This window comes from Homo sapiens, chromosome 4, assembly GCF_000001405.40.
Source record: "Homo sapiens chromosome 4, GRCh38.p14 Primary Assembly".
Lineage (NCBI taxonomy): Eukaryota > Metazoa > Chordata > Mammalia > Primates > Hominidae > Homo > Homo sapiens.
Genome location: NC_000004.12, coordinates 159,770,424 through 159,786,248, shown reverse-complemented (window position 1 = coordinate 159,786,248; position 15,825 = coordinate 159,770,424). Strand labels below are relative to the sequence as shown.

General features: G+C 35.4%; 2 long non-coding RNA genes across 2 annotated transcripts in view; one reads left to right on the top strand and one right to left on the bottom strand.

Annotated features, from left to right (window-relative positions):
* LOC107986324 (uncharacterized) overlaps window positions 1-15,825 on the bottom strand; it is a 487,144-nt gene that overhangs the window by 241,218 nt on the left and 230,101 nt on the right. The window lies entirely within an intron of this gene.
* Window positions 8,465-15,825, top strand: part of LINC02233 (long intergenic non-protein coding RNA 2233) — a 111,282-nt gene continuing 103,921 nt past the window's right edge. Inside the window, exon 1 of the long non-coding RNA NR_146278.1 lies at window positions 8,465-8,579. This is a non-coding gene — a long non-coding RNA (long intergenic non-protein coding RNA 2233). The remainder of the gene's footprint in view (window positions 8,580-15,825) is intronic.

Below are 15,825 nucleotides of genomic sequence, written 5' to 3'. Positions count from 1 at the left end.
TTGGCAACACCCTCACAGACACATCCAGGATCAATACTTTGCATCCTTCAACCCAATCAAGTTGACACTCAGTATTAACTATCACAAAATGGTAGTTCTATTTTAAATTTTTTGAGAAATTTATATACAGTTTTCCATAATGGTGGCACCAATTTACATTTCTACCAAAAGTATACAGGTTTTCCTTATCTGTACATCCTCCTTAACATGTACCTTTTGGTTTTATGATTATAGCCACCCTGACAGATGTAAAATGATATCATGGTTTTGATTTGCATCTCCCTGATGATTGGTGATATTGAACACCTTTTCATATACCTCTTGGCCATTTCTAAGTTTCTTTGAAAGAAACATTTATTCAGGTCCTTTGCCCATTTTTTAATGGGGCTATTTGTGGTTTTGGTTTGGTTTGGTTTGGGGGTTTTTTATTGTATTTTGTTTTTGTTTTTGCTGTGTTTACTATCAAACTGTAGAATTTGCTTATATGTTTTGGACATTAACATTTCAGCAGACGTATGATTTGTGAATATTTTCTCCTAGTCTATAAGTTGCCTTTTCATTTTATTGATTACTTTCTTTGCTGTGCAGAAGCCTGTTAGTTTAATGTAACTCCACTGTTTATTTCTGTTTTCCCCTGTGCTTTTAGTGCCACATTCAAGAAACAATTACCAAGGCCAATACCAAGAAGTTTCTTTTCCTATATTTTCTCCTAGGAGTTTTATGGTTTCAACATTTATGTTTAAGTCTTTAATAAATTTTGAGTTCATTTTTGAATAAGACATAAGGGTTCAATTTCATTCTTTTGCATACAGATATCCAGTTTACTCAACACTATTTATTGAAGAAACTCTCCTTTTCTCATTATGTATTCTTTTCACCTGGGTTGAAAATCAGTTTATCTATAGGTATGTGTTTATTTCTAGGCTCTCTATTCTGTTCAACTGGCCTATAGGTCATAAAGCATTTTTAAGTGCCTAATAAAACTTAGGTGTTCACAAAACTTGGAGTGGCTTCCTATTACACACAGCCTAAATTTTTGAGCTTGGTATATCTCAGCCAGATAAGCAAGCTATCTGGCCTTTAAAAAAATGTCCCCAATTTTGCAACCTCTACTCTTACCAGTTCTCTTCAATTGAAGCTCTTATTATGTGTTAGGCATTCTGCTAAGTACAGGGAATACAATGATCAATATTCAATATTACATGGTTACTATTATTGCACAGTTTACATTTTAGTGATGATGACAGAAATCCAAACAGATAATTTCAATATACTATGGAAAGTGTAATGATAAAAGTATAGTCACATTTGCATGAAAGCACAGAGATATTAAGCCTCATCACACAAGGTTAAGGAAGGTGTTTTGTGGCAATTGATGCCTAAACCAAATTTTTAAAGACAGGGGAAAATTAACAACATTGAAACAGGTTTGAGGATAATCTTTTAAGTGGAAAAAGAACATTAGCAAAGACAGTGTGATGTGAAACAGCATAATGCCTGCAGCCAACTACTAGAATATCACTGAGCATAAGTATACCTCTTAGCAAGGTGAGAGATGACAGCAAAGAGGTGGACAGGGGACAAGACTTTGGATGACAAATTAAAAGCGCAGATATAATAGTGAGCCACTGAATTATTTCTATAAAGGTAATAAAACCAGATTTGCATTTTGTGTGTATCTAGCTATTGTCTGGGCAAAACAGCCATCCTCAATACTGGTATCAAAACTCACAGATGTTTTCCCAAAATGTAAAGACATGTTGACATTTATTAATATAGTTAACAAAGTTTGTGAACATATTTAAAAATATATATATAGGAGCAAATTAACAACCTTCTCAATGCATTACCAATAATTTATTTATTTTATGATATGCTCTTCCACTTTCAAGTTAGAAGCCATCACTATTATTCATCATTATTTTTCACTTATTTATTGATAAGTATTTCCAATAAAGAAAGAGAAGGACAGAACCATGACATGAAATTTTAATAACTCTGGGTAAATCCTTGAGAGTGTGTAATAAAAATGAGGGTCTTCATGTGTCAAGGCAGGGGGTGGGGGAAACGAAGAACTATTGGTAATAGGTATGGCAAATGAACTGACAGGGCAAATTTAGAGATAAAGTTATTTTAGAAGGTTGTTGATAAACTTCCCACTATTCCCTGACATGCTCATTCCAGCCCTTCCTTATATCATTCTCCCCTCCATACATACACTTTGAATGTTCCTCCCTTCCTCTCACTGCTCCAAATACTATCCATCTTTAAGGCTCAGACAGATGCCTTCTTTGATTACTCTATACATACCAATATTTTCTTCCTTGTAAGACAAGCTACAAAACCAAGCATATTATTATTATACAGCATATTTGCTCCCAATTTGTTCTATGTGCTTTAATCTTGTTTCCTCAGCTAGGTCTTCAAGTACTGTAATGTAGAAAATAGTATTTTTCTCCTTTCTTAAATCTTCAAAGGGCAGACATCACCCAGAATCAATGGAAATTTCATTCGGCCCTTTCACCTTTTCTCTTATAATGTTCTTATCATTTTTGCTACATGTGAGAAAAACAGAGAGAATGGATTTGAGAAATCATGTCTGAATCAGACATTCAGTGGGACAAGAATCCTTTAATCAAGAACTTCCTAGAAAAGAAAATTATATTCTCAGGGCATCTGCTCTGCTTTGCAGTTCTTAACCATCCATCTGGAGGTGAGGGGGGATATGTATTTAGTTTGTCTTGGACATTGCTTGCTTGTTTCTTTTTTTGCTTGTTTTAGCAACCAGGATTTATCCATAAAACTATCCATGTCCTTTCTTGAATGTCAGGGGCCAGAAGCCTGAAAAATATCTTTTCCAGACTTCCTTGTTTCCAGGGCTTAGATATGATTTACATTCTGCCAGGGAGATAAATTTGTGTAAGATTTAGAAGTACAAGAGAAGCAGAATTCATTGCTTTCACCCTCCAGATCAGTAGTGAATGGATGTGTGGCTTTGACAGATGTGAGATCTTGCAGTGGCCCCCAGCTGTCTCCTTCTTTAAGTTCCCATCTGATACTCCCCACCTGGATGTGGCTGGGGAACAATGGTCATCTGAGAAAGTTTCTCAGTGATTCCTGAAGAGGTAACAGCACAAAGTTCCTGATTTTCTAGACCATACTTGAAAGGTCACACAACATTTGTTGATGTTCACAACGTTGGCCTTTCTAGTGGTTTTATAAGAATCTCAATAACTGTGTTAAAATTTTGGTGCAGCATATTCTTAACTCCTTCCCAGCTTTATTCATAATTGCTCAACCTTAGAAGCAACCAAGATGTCTTTCAGTAGGTAAATAGATAAACTGTGGTACATCCAGACAATAAACTATTATTTAGCACTAAAAAGAAATGAGCTATCAAGTCATGAAAAAAAAACATGAAGGAAGCTTAAATACATACTACAAAGTAAAAGAAGCCAATCTAAAAAGGCTACATACTCTATTATTCTAACCATATGGCATTCTGGAAATGACAAAACTAAGGAGATGGTAACAAGATCTGTGGTTGCCAGGGACTAAGGGGGTTTATTCATTCCACCATAGATAAATAGGTGGAACACCAAGGATGTTTAGAGCATGAAAATATTCTGTATGAGACTATAATGTTGGATACATGGTATCATATGTTGGTCCAAACCCACAGAATGTGCAACCCTAAGAGTGAACCCTAACGTAAACTATTGACGCTGGATAATAATTTGTCAATGTAGTTCATCAATTGTAACAAATGTACCATTGTGGTGTGGGATGTTGATAGTAGGGGAAGCTGTGCATGTGTGGGGATAGAGGGCATATGGGGGATCTCTGCATCTTCAGTGCAATTTTGCTATGAACTAAAAACGTTCTAAAAAATAAAGCCTATTAAGAAAAATTTTTGTGGCCCAAGAATACCTGGCTAAGTAAGGCATCCGTCAGCAAGGTGTTCTAAGCAGGGAAGTGACATGACCTGATTTATATTTTTGAAAAATCACTATACTAAGCGAGGAGAGAATGTAAGGAGACAAGACAAGGAAGAATGGAGTCCGGTTAAGAGAAATTGCCGATAGCCTAGGCAATGAATAATGGTGACAATGGATTAGGATGATGACAGTGAAAGTGGAGAGTAATTTATATTTTAAGTACAGATGACAGGACTTGATTGTCTGGATTTAGAAGACAAAAAGAAGTAACCAAGCATGACTACTAGGTTTTAGGATTTTCCAACAGATTGAATGATTATATCATTTACCAGGACAGAGAAGACTGAGAGGGTGACACGGTCATGAGAGGGAGAGCTGTGAAGAGAGAATACCAAGAGTTCTTTTTTCAGATGTGCTGCGTATAAGAAGCATATGAGCAGTGGTATGCTTGCAAATGTTTAACATTAGTTAAACTCTCCAGGAATAAAAAGATATACAAATAAATTTCAAACAAAGGTTTACTATAAATTTTTCTCATACAAAGATATAGTACATAATTTACATATAATAACAAATGTGAAATACTCTTTATTGTAATGACCATATAGCTAATTGAGCCTCTCAGGAACTTTCACTGGTTTTGCCAGCAGGAAGCCGAAAAAGCTGCTCCTTTTTCAGCCTAAGTTCCAGAATGGGAAGAGGCATGAGAGAAACAATGCCTATGAGTAGGATGTATCAGAAGAACCTCCGTAGCCTACTAAGGCCAACCTTACAAAATATGAAAGATTGATAAATGGGGTTTTAGGCCAATGAGACATTAGAATTACTTATCGTGCAGCATTGAGAGTGATGACAAGAATGGTTTCCAAAACAGTTTCAAAAAAGTGGAGACCAGGATGGAGGTGGTATGTAGAATCTAGACTTGTAAGGAGACAACCCTGAAAACTAGGGAAGCGCAGACTTTACCTGGGGGAAGGAGGGAGGTTTCGTTCAATGGTTGATTGGAGAACATGTTTATATGCATTGTTGAATGATCATAGAGGGTGGGAAACACAGTGATAAAGCAGAAAGGGGGAAAAAGAGCAACAGACATGAATTTGGGGAAGTTAAGGAGGGATGAGACTCATAGGTACATAGGAGGATGGCCTTTGATAGAAAGAGGGATACTTCAACTATTGTGCAAGTAGTGAGGCAGAAACTATGAGTACACATACAACAGATTTGTTAACTGGAAGTATGATGTGAGTTCATCAGCTGACATGATGAGAGAATATGATAAGAAGAGACAAGGAACTAGAATAGTTTACAGAGAGTGGAAAACTAAAGTCACTAGGAAAAGGTAGCAAAATTATCTGATGGAGTTAAGTGCTAACTAAATTTGTGTGTTAACTAACTTAAAGAAAAAGAAGTTAACATGGTTCTGTGATTCTTATTTTTAAAAATATCCAGCTTCTCTAGGATAGTCACAGAAAAGGAAAACAATTTGGTATAAATCAAGTTTAGAATTTTGACAGTTGAATAAATAGGGGAAAAAAGAGGCAAGGAAGTTGAGATTGTTACAGAAGCTATGTAACTGAACTGTGGACTCTCTGATAGGTATGAAGGAAGCAAAAATTAGAGAAGCATGATGGAAAGTAAATATGGATATAAGGTTTTGATTAGATAAAAGGACTTTTGGAATTTGGAAATACTAAAGTAAATGAACTGAAAAAACAGGAGCTGATATAGTTACCAAAGTGACAAGGTTTAGGATATATATGACCATGGTAGTAGAGAACAGATTTTTCAAAATGAGAAGATTCACGATTTAAGAAGTCAGAATGTTGGGTGTGTCATCCATGTGAATGTTGAATTGACCAAAAATAATGACTGCTGTAAGCGTAGAGAGAAAGACAATAATAAGCTGGGAGCTAATTTTTCAGTGAATGAGAGAATCATAAGAAGCTTAGTAGAAGTTGTGGATAGTGAGTGGTGTATACTTCTAAGGAGCTGGGACTCTTGAATAAAAAAGGAAGAAAATGAGATGGAAGAGACACTGATAATCATGGTCCTGGGAGTCACAGGATAGGAAGGAATGAAGGAAGGAAGGAAGGAAGGAAGGAAGGAAGGAAGGAAGGAAGGAAGGAAGGAAGGAAGGAAGGAAGGAGGGAAGGAAGGGGGGGAGGGAGGGAGGGAGGGAAATGGGTTTTTTCAGATGTGACCTTTTGTATTAGTACAAGTTGAGTATAACCTTAAGGGTTACAACTTATCATTGGATGTGCTGAGAAAATTAACAGAACGCTAAAAATATTTTGGGAGACTACAGAAAACTTTCTAAACTATAAAATTGAGGGAAATAGTGTTTGATTTTCAAAAGCAAAAGTCTTCTACTAAAAGATTATTTAAAACTGCTCTGACACGAAGGATAACAAGAACCGAATTCCAAGTGTCATGTGTGGTTTATAAAATCAACCACAGGCACTGTTATCATAAAAGGTTAGGAACCAGTAGGATAAAATACCAAAAAGGATGAAATAAGATTATAATGTGAAACCATTTGAAAAGGTAAATGTTTATATACACATACAAGGTCATCATATTATTATGAAATGCAAGTTGAGCATGAAATAAGAGAAGCTTCAGGCACTTTCCTCTGTAGGTATATTGTTCATTTTTCAGTTGTGTCTAAGCACAGGTTTGAATGCTAATCAGCTAAGTATTTAGGGTGCCCAGCACAGTGGGTTCCACAAGTATTTGCAAGAACAGATTCTGCCCTTATGAGGTCAACTAATTCTGTATAAAAATTACTAGAGGAAAATATAGCATGCAACTAACTATTGAATAGCGTGGCACAGACCACAAATGTAACAAGAATTTAGAAAAAAGATTAATCATTAGTAGTCACAGTAACAATGGATTAGATTATCCTTGCACCAAGCATTGTCTCTCAATTTAATGATTTATTTAAGTGACTTTCATCAGGAAGAGCTTTTGACAAAGGAAAAAGAAATAAAATAAAACTAACTAGAAAACTACAAATGGGCTGGGCGCAGTGGCTCACTCATGTAATCCCAGCACTTTCGGAGGCCAAGGCGGGCGGATCACCTGAGGTCAGGAGTTCGAGAGCAGCCTTGCCAACATGACGAAACCCCGTCTATACTAAAAATAAAAAATTAGCTGGGTGTGGTGATGTGTGTCTGTAATCCCAGCTACTAGGGAGACTGTGGCAGGAGAATCACTTGAACCCAGGGAGGCAGAGTTTGCAGTGAGCTGCGATCACACCACTGCACTCCAGCCTGGGTGACAGAGCAAGACTGTCTCAAAAAAAAAAAAAAAAAGAAAGAAAGAAAGAAAAAGAAAAAAGTGCAAATGAAAGCACATTTTATTACTCTTTTCACTAGAAGGTCACTCTGAAGAGTTATCTGTCGTTAGTAATCATGGTAATGTATTTTGAAAAAAGAAAATCCAACTATCAGAACAAAAACATCAACCATTTTCACCTTTTCAACTCTTGTCAGTAATTTAAGAAACCTTCTACAACCAACCACTCATGTAACTATTTCATTTCATACTCGAAAGAGTATTAAGCGTTCTTGATATCTTCGTTCACTGCACCATGCCCTCTACCCTTTAAGGAATTTATAGTCTAAGTCAAAACAATTAAAACAGATGGAATGTGGCAAACACTGAACAATTGATACTTTCCTTTTCCAAATAAGATATTCAATAAATTATGGGGAGATGTTTCATATTTTAAGAGTTAAAAAAAGAGGAACACCTATAAAGCCAAGTACACCAAGTAGTCTTCAAAGAGGAAGTGGGAGATGAGATTGTGAGTCAAATAAGCAAAAATCTTAACACCAAAGAAACAAACAGTGTAAAAACTAGCTTCCTCAACTGAAGACTGTATAACTTGAAATACTAGGTGATATGTTTGGGTCCTCAAAATTCCACAAAATAAACATGGTACATATTCTAGAACTATAACTTTATTCAATGGCAATTGACTTGAAATGTTTTTAGGTGAACACAAATGTATTATGGAGTAGAATGTAAATGTGTGGAATACTTTTCAAATGATAGATGCAATTGTGTTCTTTGAAATTATCTAGAAATATGAAATAATTGTCCACAAATAATAAGAGTAGTTTATCAGAAAAATTGCAAATTATTTACCAAAACAAAAACACACAGAATTGAGTCTGGCAGTAGAATAAATATATTTTTTAAATAAGATAAAGAACAGAAAAATAACTGGATAAGTAGGTCATTGAAGCCATTTTTATCTCCTGGCACACTGCTACCTACTCCCTAAATTGCATTAGATTTCATATAGTAGAAATATTAAAAGTTGTTTAAGGTTCCTAAGAAGAAACTACAACACGAAGATTAATCTGATACAAATATGCAGGATGGAATAACAGGAAGTGGGAGTGGGAGGGAGGGGTGTCTTGGGAGCACTACAGTAAGAGGATTATTGCAGGAGTCCAAACTTCCACTGATGAAGACATGGATTGAAATGAAGCGCGTATGTGCTCACAGTTAACAACAACAACAAGAAAAGGCTGGAGAAAACAGCGGTAAGAGCACTATGAGATAAATATGAAGACTAAATATACAGTTAACAACAACAACAACAAGAAAAGGCTGGAGAAAACAGAGGTGAGAGCACTATGAGATAAATATGAAGACTAATTATAATGTAAAATTTGAGTTCTGCCTGTAGATAAACCTCTCAATCTTATTAATCAAAAGAACTTCAGGTAGTATGGGATAATGTAGCTAATTAAATGCTGTATTTATATTTTCTGTCTCTTAAATCTCAAGCAAGAAACACATGAAGCTAAGATAGCTCTATGTCCCCTTTGCCACTTTCACTAGATTTCACCTGTGTCTATGCCTGGACGCCAGAGGTGGGGGCAAGAAGCAGGCCTCGCTGGTGTGGCTTGGCTCTGGCAAGAAGACGGCTGCTTGGACAGGTGATGCTGGTCATTCCCAGACTAGCAGCTCATTAGGAGAAAGAGGGAGAGACAGATGGGCCCCACTGGTCAGCTCTGGTTGCTGAATTTAATGTATTCACTGGTGAAAAAGTAACAGTGGCCTAACAGTTAACACATAGGCCAAGAATACGAGACTGTCAGACTGCACGATGCTATTAATTTTGAAAGTGGGAGCATAATTGGCTACCACTTACCACCTGTGGTTGATGTTAGTGCTTCAATAAAGGAGAAGAAAGATAATCTGAGGCTAGTGATTTTAGAGACTTAGCAGCTTCCAGCTGAGTCTCTTAAAGACAGTGTTGACAATTTTATTATAAACCTCTCCTAGAGGGGTTTCTCACTTTCACCTATAATTTGTCATCTCCTTGCACTCATGTGACTAATACTTTGCTTAAATCACTTTTGCCGTATTTCAAAAACAGAGAACCCAAAAGTGGCTTTTTTAGTGGAGCTGAGATCACATGCGTGTTTCTTTCTTTGCATTATTCTAATATAAAAGCAGTGGCAGAAAGCAGGAAAGAGAGTCTGAGAGTGATTTCAGCTGCTCTTCACCCATTTACTTGTTTTATGAGAATAAGCCTTCAACAGTGTAAAAGAACTTTTTATAAGAATTTTAAGGTTCTGTATGGTATAATTTCTCCTCATACTGTGACTCTCACTGATGTCACACTCATACTTCTCTGGCATGACAGAAAGGGGATCATGACCTTCTTTCCGCCAGCCATAATGAAGCCAAGATCATTGTATATAACAAAATATACTACAGAAAGAGTAAGATTTAATCTAACATTAAAACACTCACCTTTCATGGAAAGTAATGATTCATGTCACATAAAGTTCAGAGGGGCAGTAGGTCCAGGGTAAAACTGAATTCCAAACATCTTTTACAAATTATTTGATCATTGAATAACTACTTCTATTCCTGAACAAACTGTTCTTTCTTCTATTTCTCTGCCTTTGCTCAGGATGTACCCTTTGATTGAAAAAGTGTCTCACACCTTACTCCCTTCTCCCTAAGTTACCCTTCTCAACCAAACAAAAAGGAAAAACTAGCACACAGTAAGCATTATGTAAATATCAGCTACTAATTCATCATTATTATCTTTAAGGATTGTTTAAAACATTATACATAATAGACATAAAATGCCTGCATAGTTGGTCTCCCACAAAAGAAATGCTTACTAAGTGGTTATTATTATTAGCATATAATTAAGACTTCTTTCCATGTCTGTCTCCCTAGCAGTTAGGTACTTAAGGGTATGCATGATACCTTCATGTATTCATTTAACAAATATTTGTTAAACATCTGAAATGTGCATGGCATTGTGATGTGTACCAGTGGAGATACTTGGAGGACCAGCCAGTTAGGGTTTCAGAATTTCCTAAACTACCTGTCTGAGTTATTAGTACCCCTGTCATTTTTTGTATTTCCTATCACCAGGCACTTTTCACACTTTATTTAAAATATCTAATTGTTTGTCGTGTGGAGTCAGAGAATGCTTTCCTTGCCTTATTAATTATTGTGCCAATTTCATAAATATGAATTGATCAACTTATTAAGCCTTCTGCTTTTATATCTAGAAATCATCATTGTATCTATAAAACATTAACGCATTCATGAAAATTTTCTCCTATAGTTATTAGCCTTAGTTTACAAATTATCAAATTTTTGAACTAGCAGATTATATATGTTATTTTTGTTAACAAATTTTCAATAACCCACATACATGATTGGTTAAATACTGAAAATATATTTTGTGTATATAGCCTTTTATGTTTTCCAGAATACAAAAAGAAAGATAGGAAGTTATATGAAGATATTATTTCCAGGTTGTGATGTGAGATACTTTTTTCAGTTCAAGATCTAAGTCATTTGGAAGATAACAGTAAAGTAAAATCATAAACTCCAAATTATCATTTGCTAGGTGAGACTTCCCAGGGATCTCTGGATAAAAAATTAAGTGGACCTTCAATCCAGGTTTCTTTTATCAGGGTCAATAGCCCCTAATTTTCATCATAACACTCAGACTAAACCACTCAAGCAACTTTTCAGCTTAGAGAATAAGTAATTGCTATATATTCATCTTAAACTCTACTCACATTTTTAATGGAGAAGGGAAGTTACAATTCCACACTAATTGCAGTCACTGAAAGTAAAAGACGAACTTTTAGTATCTTTATTTTATCCCCAACCTCTATACCAAAGCTACTTTTTAAAACAGGAGATTTGAAGGGCTTTCAGAGAAAGAAATTTATATCAGAGTCTTAAGCTGCCAAAACAGATGCAAGCAAAGAAGACATGTCTATACATCAGCAGAAATTCTGCACATATTAAAAGATAGGTAAAAATTAACAATCTTACAGTAATTAATTTCAACCTTTGTTAGTTGATATAATAAATAACATCATTATATGCATGTAATCTTCTTCAACAATAGAACCTATTTTAAAGACTTTTAAGATATAGAAATAGTTTTAGTTTTTAAATCCTCTTAAGAATTTTCTAAAATTCATCTATATGTTCTGCTCACACTTTCTCTCCATTAAGACAAATCACATATTCTTTGATAATATCACATCATTTCCACTGACATACTAATGGATCCCACTGTGTGTTACAAGTTTATGGCTATATGATTCATTTCTATGATAATCTCGCTTTCATTAATATAACAGCTCCAAATGTAGTACATCAATTCCTGAGATATCCACATTCACATCCTAATGACTTTTTCATCCCTTAATGGGTTTTAAAAGAGAAGAGTCACATTGTTCTGGAAAAAAAATAATAAACCTCACTAGGAGACTTAAAGACTTAAATCAGCTACATTACTAGTGTCCTCAGCAAAATGGTAATGATTCAAGAACGTAGTGATCCAAAAATTTGCATACATGCAGAACATTTCCTCAGCTCTCAAAGAACATAACAAAAAACCGACACTATGGAGAATAAAAATAAATTTTCAAAGTAATTCAGCACATATTGTTACCTATTCTAGATTTTAGTAATTGTACTGTGAAGATACTTAGTCTGGTATTGGTGGGCCTGGGAAATTATAGGTGGGCTTCAAAAAGTCAGTCCCCTGATGGTATAGAAGTAATATGTTATATATGTGTATATTTATGGAGATAGTACACATCTTTCATCACATTCTAAAAATAGTCTTCATGATCAATACACATACAAATATATATAAAGACCTCCTTGTTTGTCTACTTTTATAACATAAACTAGAAGAAAACAGATTGAGTGCTTAGACTGTAGGAAGTGATTCATATGTAAATAGACTATGGGAGGAAATGGAAATAGTACTTTTAGCCCTAATCATCTGTATCACGAGTACCAATATGAATTTGGAATTTTAAAAAAGAGAATGATACAAAATTATAGTTTTGACTTAAGGCAGAAATATGAGTTAAAATTATAATACAGCAATAGACGATTATACCATTTTCATAAAAAACAGACCTGTTGATATTTTCATGGAAATAAGTTGGAGAGTCTGTGTTCAATGCTGAAAGCAAATGGAAGTAAAAATCTATGTAAAGAGGTTGAAGACATTTTTATCTTAAGAGTTGGCGTGGGGCCGGGCACGGTGGCTCACGCCTGTAATCCCAGCACTTTAGGAGGCCAAGGCGGGTGGATCACGAGGTCAGGAGTTCGATAGCAGCCTGACCAACATGGCAAAACCCCGTCTCTACTAAAAATATAAAAATTAGCCAGGCGTGGTGGCACGCATCTGTAATCCCAGCTACTCAGGAGGCTAAGGCAGGAGAATTGCTTGAACGCAGGGGGCGGAGGTTGCAGTGAGCCGAGATGGTGCCACTGCACTCCAGCCTGGGCGACAGAACGAGACTCCTTCTCAGGAAGAAAAAAAAAAGTTGGCATAATAATTCCTTTTCTTGTGGGATCTATCCTTGAGAAAAATGTCCCACTTTGGGGAAAACCTATCTGAAGACCAAAACATGGGAGGAAAGAGATAAATTCATCCAAATAAGACAAAGAGATGGTTTTTAATCAGAGAGAAAAAGGAATACAAGAGGAGCAGGAGAAAGAACTTAGAGAGGATGAAAAATTGAAAAAGTTTGGAAATTAAGGCCAATAAAACTTCCTGATGGAAGAATAGGTAAATAAAATTAACAAAAAAAATGATGCACAAGAGCAGATAGAAGTTTTTTGGGGATACACTTACACAATTTTGGTGGTCCTTGTTAAAAAAAAAAAACCCAGAATTTTAAATCTCTAATTAGGGAACAAATCTTTGGAGGAAACATGTAAATTAGGGCCCCTAAAGCCACAGCTTTATTAGTTTCATGGAAATTCAGGACAAGTCATGTCTAACATTCCATTTGAATTTCTTATATGCAGAACATCTACTAAAATTCATGTCTTCCATCATGCACCCATATGTTCATCACAATGCTATTCACATTAGCAAAGACATGGAATCAACCTAGATGGCCATCAATGGTGGATTAAACAAAGAAAATGCAGTACAAATACACCATGGAATACGATACAGCCATAAAAAATACATTTCCAACAATGTGGATACATCTGGAAACGTTTATCCTAAGCAAACTACCGCAGGAACAGAAAACCAAATATCATATGCTCTCACTTCTAAGTGAGGGCTAAACATTGGGTACAGATGGATACAAAGATGGAACCAATAGACACCGGGGACTACAAAAGGGAGGAGAAGGGAGCAGGAAAGGGGTTGAAAAACTAACTTTTGGGTACTATGCTCACTAGCTGGGTGGGGAATTCATTCATACACCATTTCCCAGCATTGCATAATATACCTTTGTAACAAACCTGCACATGTACCCACTGATCCTGAAATAAAAGTTGAGACAAAAAGTTCATGTCTTCCTTACTAACAAGTTTATCTTCCTGGCAGGCATTGAGGCATTGCATTAGACAGGAGATGCAAGGGTTCCGATTTTCATGGAGGTAATATAACATGATGGTTAGGATACCAGGGAGTCACTGCAGCCCTCATAAGTTATGTGATTTTTTTGTCAAGTTACTTAATATTCTATGATTCTCTTTCCTCATACATAAGATGGGGATAATATAGGACCTACTTCATGAAGCTATTGTGAAGATAAAGTAAAATAATATTTAAACACTTGATATTGTGTATTAAAGCTAGTAAGTGATGAGTGAAGCTATTATTATTACCTGTACTACAACTATTTCCATCTCTATTACAAGCCAATGAACTTAACATTATAACAAGAAGGACCCTAATCCTGGGCAATATAATGGTAGCCCTTGGAAGACTAACCAGGATCTTCTATCTCTAACAATACATTAAATTCATTTCCTTCTTAGAGAGACTGGAGCGATGGCACAGGGAAAGATGGAAGGCATAATATATCAGGAATTCAGGTTGAATTGCAAAGTTCAGGAATAATTATTGTGCTGGTTAAATGACATAGTACTTATTAATCTACTAGAGAGAGTTTTGTGAAAGGTTTCCAGAAATGTGCCACACTACTCCACTCTTAGCCTTGAACTCTTTACTTTTAAATGCTTGGATTAAGACAGAAAAGAAAAAACGATGTGCTCATATTCTAGGGTGAAATAAAGTCACTAGAATATGCACTCCTTGAGAGCAAGCACCTCACTTTCTTGTCTACCATGTGTATCTAATGCAGATGCTCAATAAATATTTTGTCAATGAATGAAAATCCAAAACAATTTTAGTCTGGATAAACTTAACCTTTATTTTAAAAAAAAGTGATAAATATAACATTTTTGACATTTAATTTTATGGTAACTTGAGAGAGATAAGGCAATTGAGCTGAAGCATATGTTAGAAAGAAGAAAAAAAGGTTTTATTTGACACTGAACACCATTTATTCAATGTTATAATAAAATCCCCAAAGCTTCCTCAACCCTGGGCTCTATTAATGTCTGCTCTGTAACTAGGGACAAAAGACTGAGCTAAGCTACTCCCTAATGGTTCCAAGTCTATGCAGTACATAAATTGCACTCAGTTCTCAAAATCGTATTTGAATAGAAAAAGAAGACACAGCAAAGTTACCAACAATCCAAATAATAAAGGTTCTATAAAACAAGTCAGGTAAGAAACGGTTAAGGAAATTATGGAGTGTATCCTGGAGAAGACTATAAAATAGCATGCTACTCTTATATAAACTTGTGAAAGCACAGACATCCGCATAGCTCCAGATTTAGAGAGATAGGATCAATAAATATAATCTATAGGAAAGCAGAGTTGGAATCAATAAAAGGTAGAACAAATATTTCTAACAAGGAACTAATTCAAATCATAATGGTTTTGAGAGGTTGTAAGTTCTTTCCAATGAAGTTTCCAATCCTTACTTCCTTTATTTATTCATTCATTCAAGTAAACGTTTAGTGCCTCTCTACATGTTTGATATGATCAGTCTCTGTTTAACAGCAATTTTATTCCCTAATTCCTATTCATATTTTAGGTCTAAGCTTAAATTTTATTTCCTTAGACTTTTCCTGATCTCAAAATTTAAATAAAATCTCTCTCTCTTTCATCAGATTTACTGAAGTATAATTTACACACCATGAAATACACCCACTATCAGTGTAACAGTGGGTTTTATTAAATTAATATATGTTTAAAAACAACATTCCAATTCTATTTTAAAACATTTCCAAAAAGTTCCAGCATGACGATTTGTTGGCAGTCTCCACTCCCAGCACCAGGCAACCACTGATCTGCTTTCTATCTCTACAGTTCTGTCATATGTAGAAACTTACAGGTTGAATCATTACATACATAAGTATTCTTTCACTTAAGATGTTTCTGAGGTTCATAAATGTTACATGCACCACTGTTTTGTTCCTTTTCATTTCCAGAAAATATTCCATTGTAAGGATATGCTTCATTTTGTTCACATAT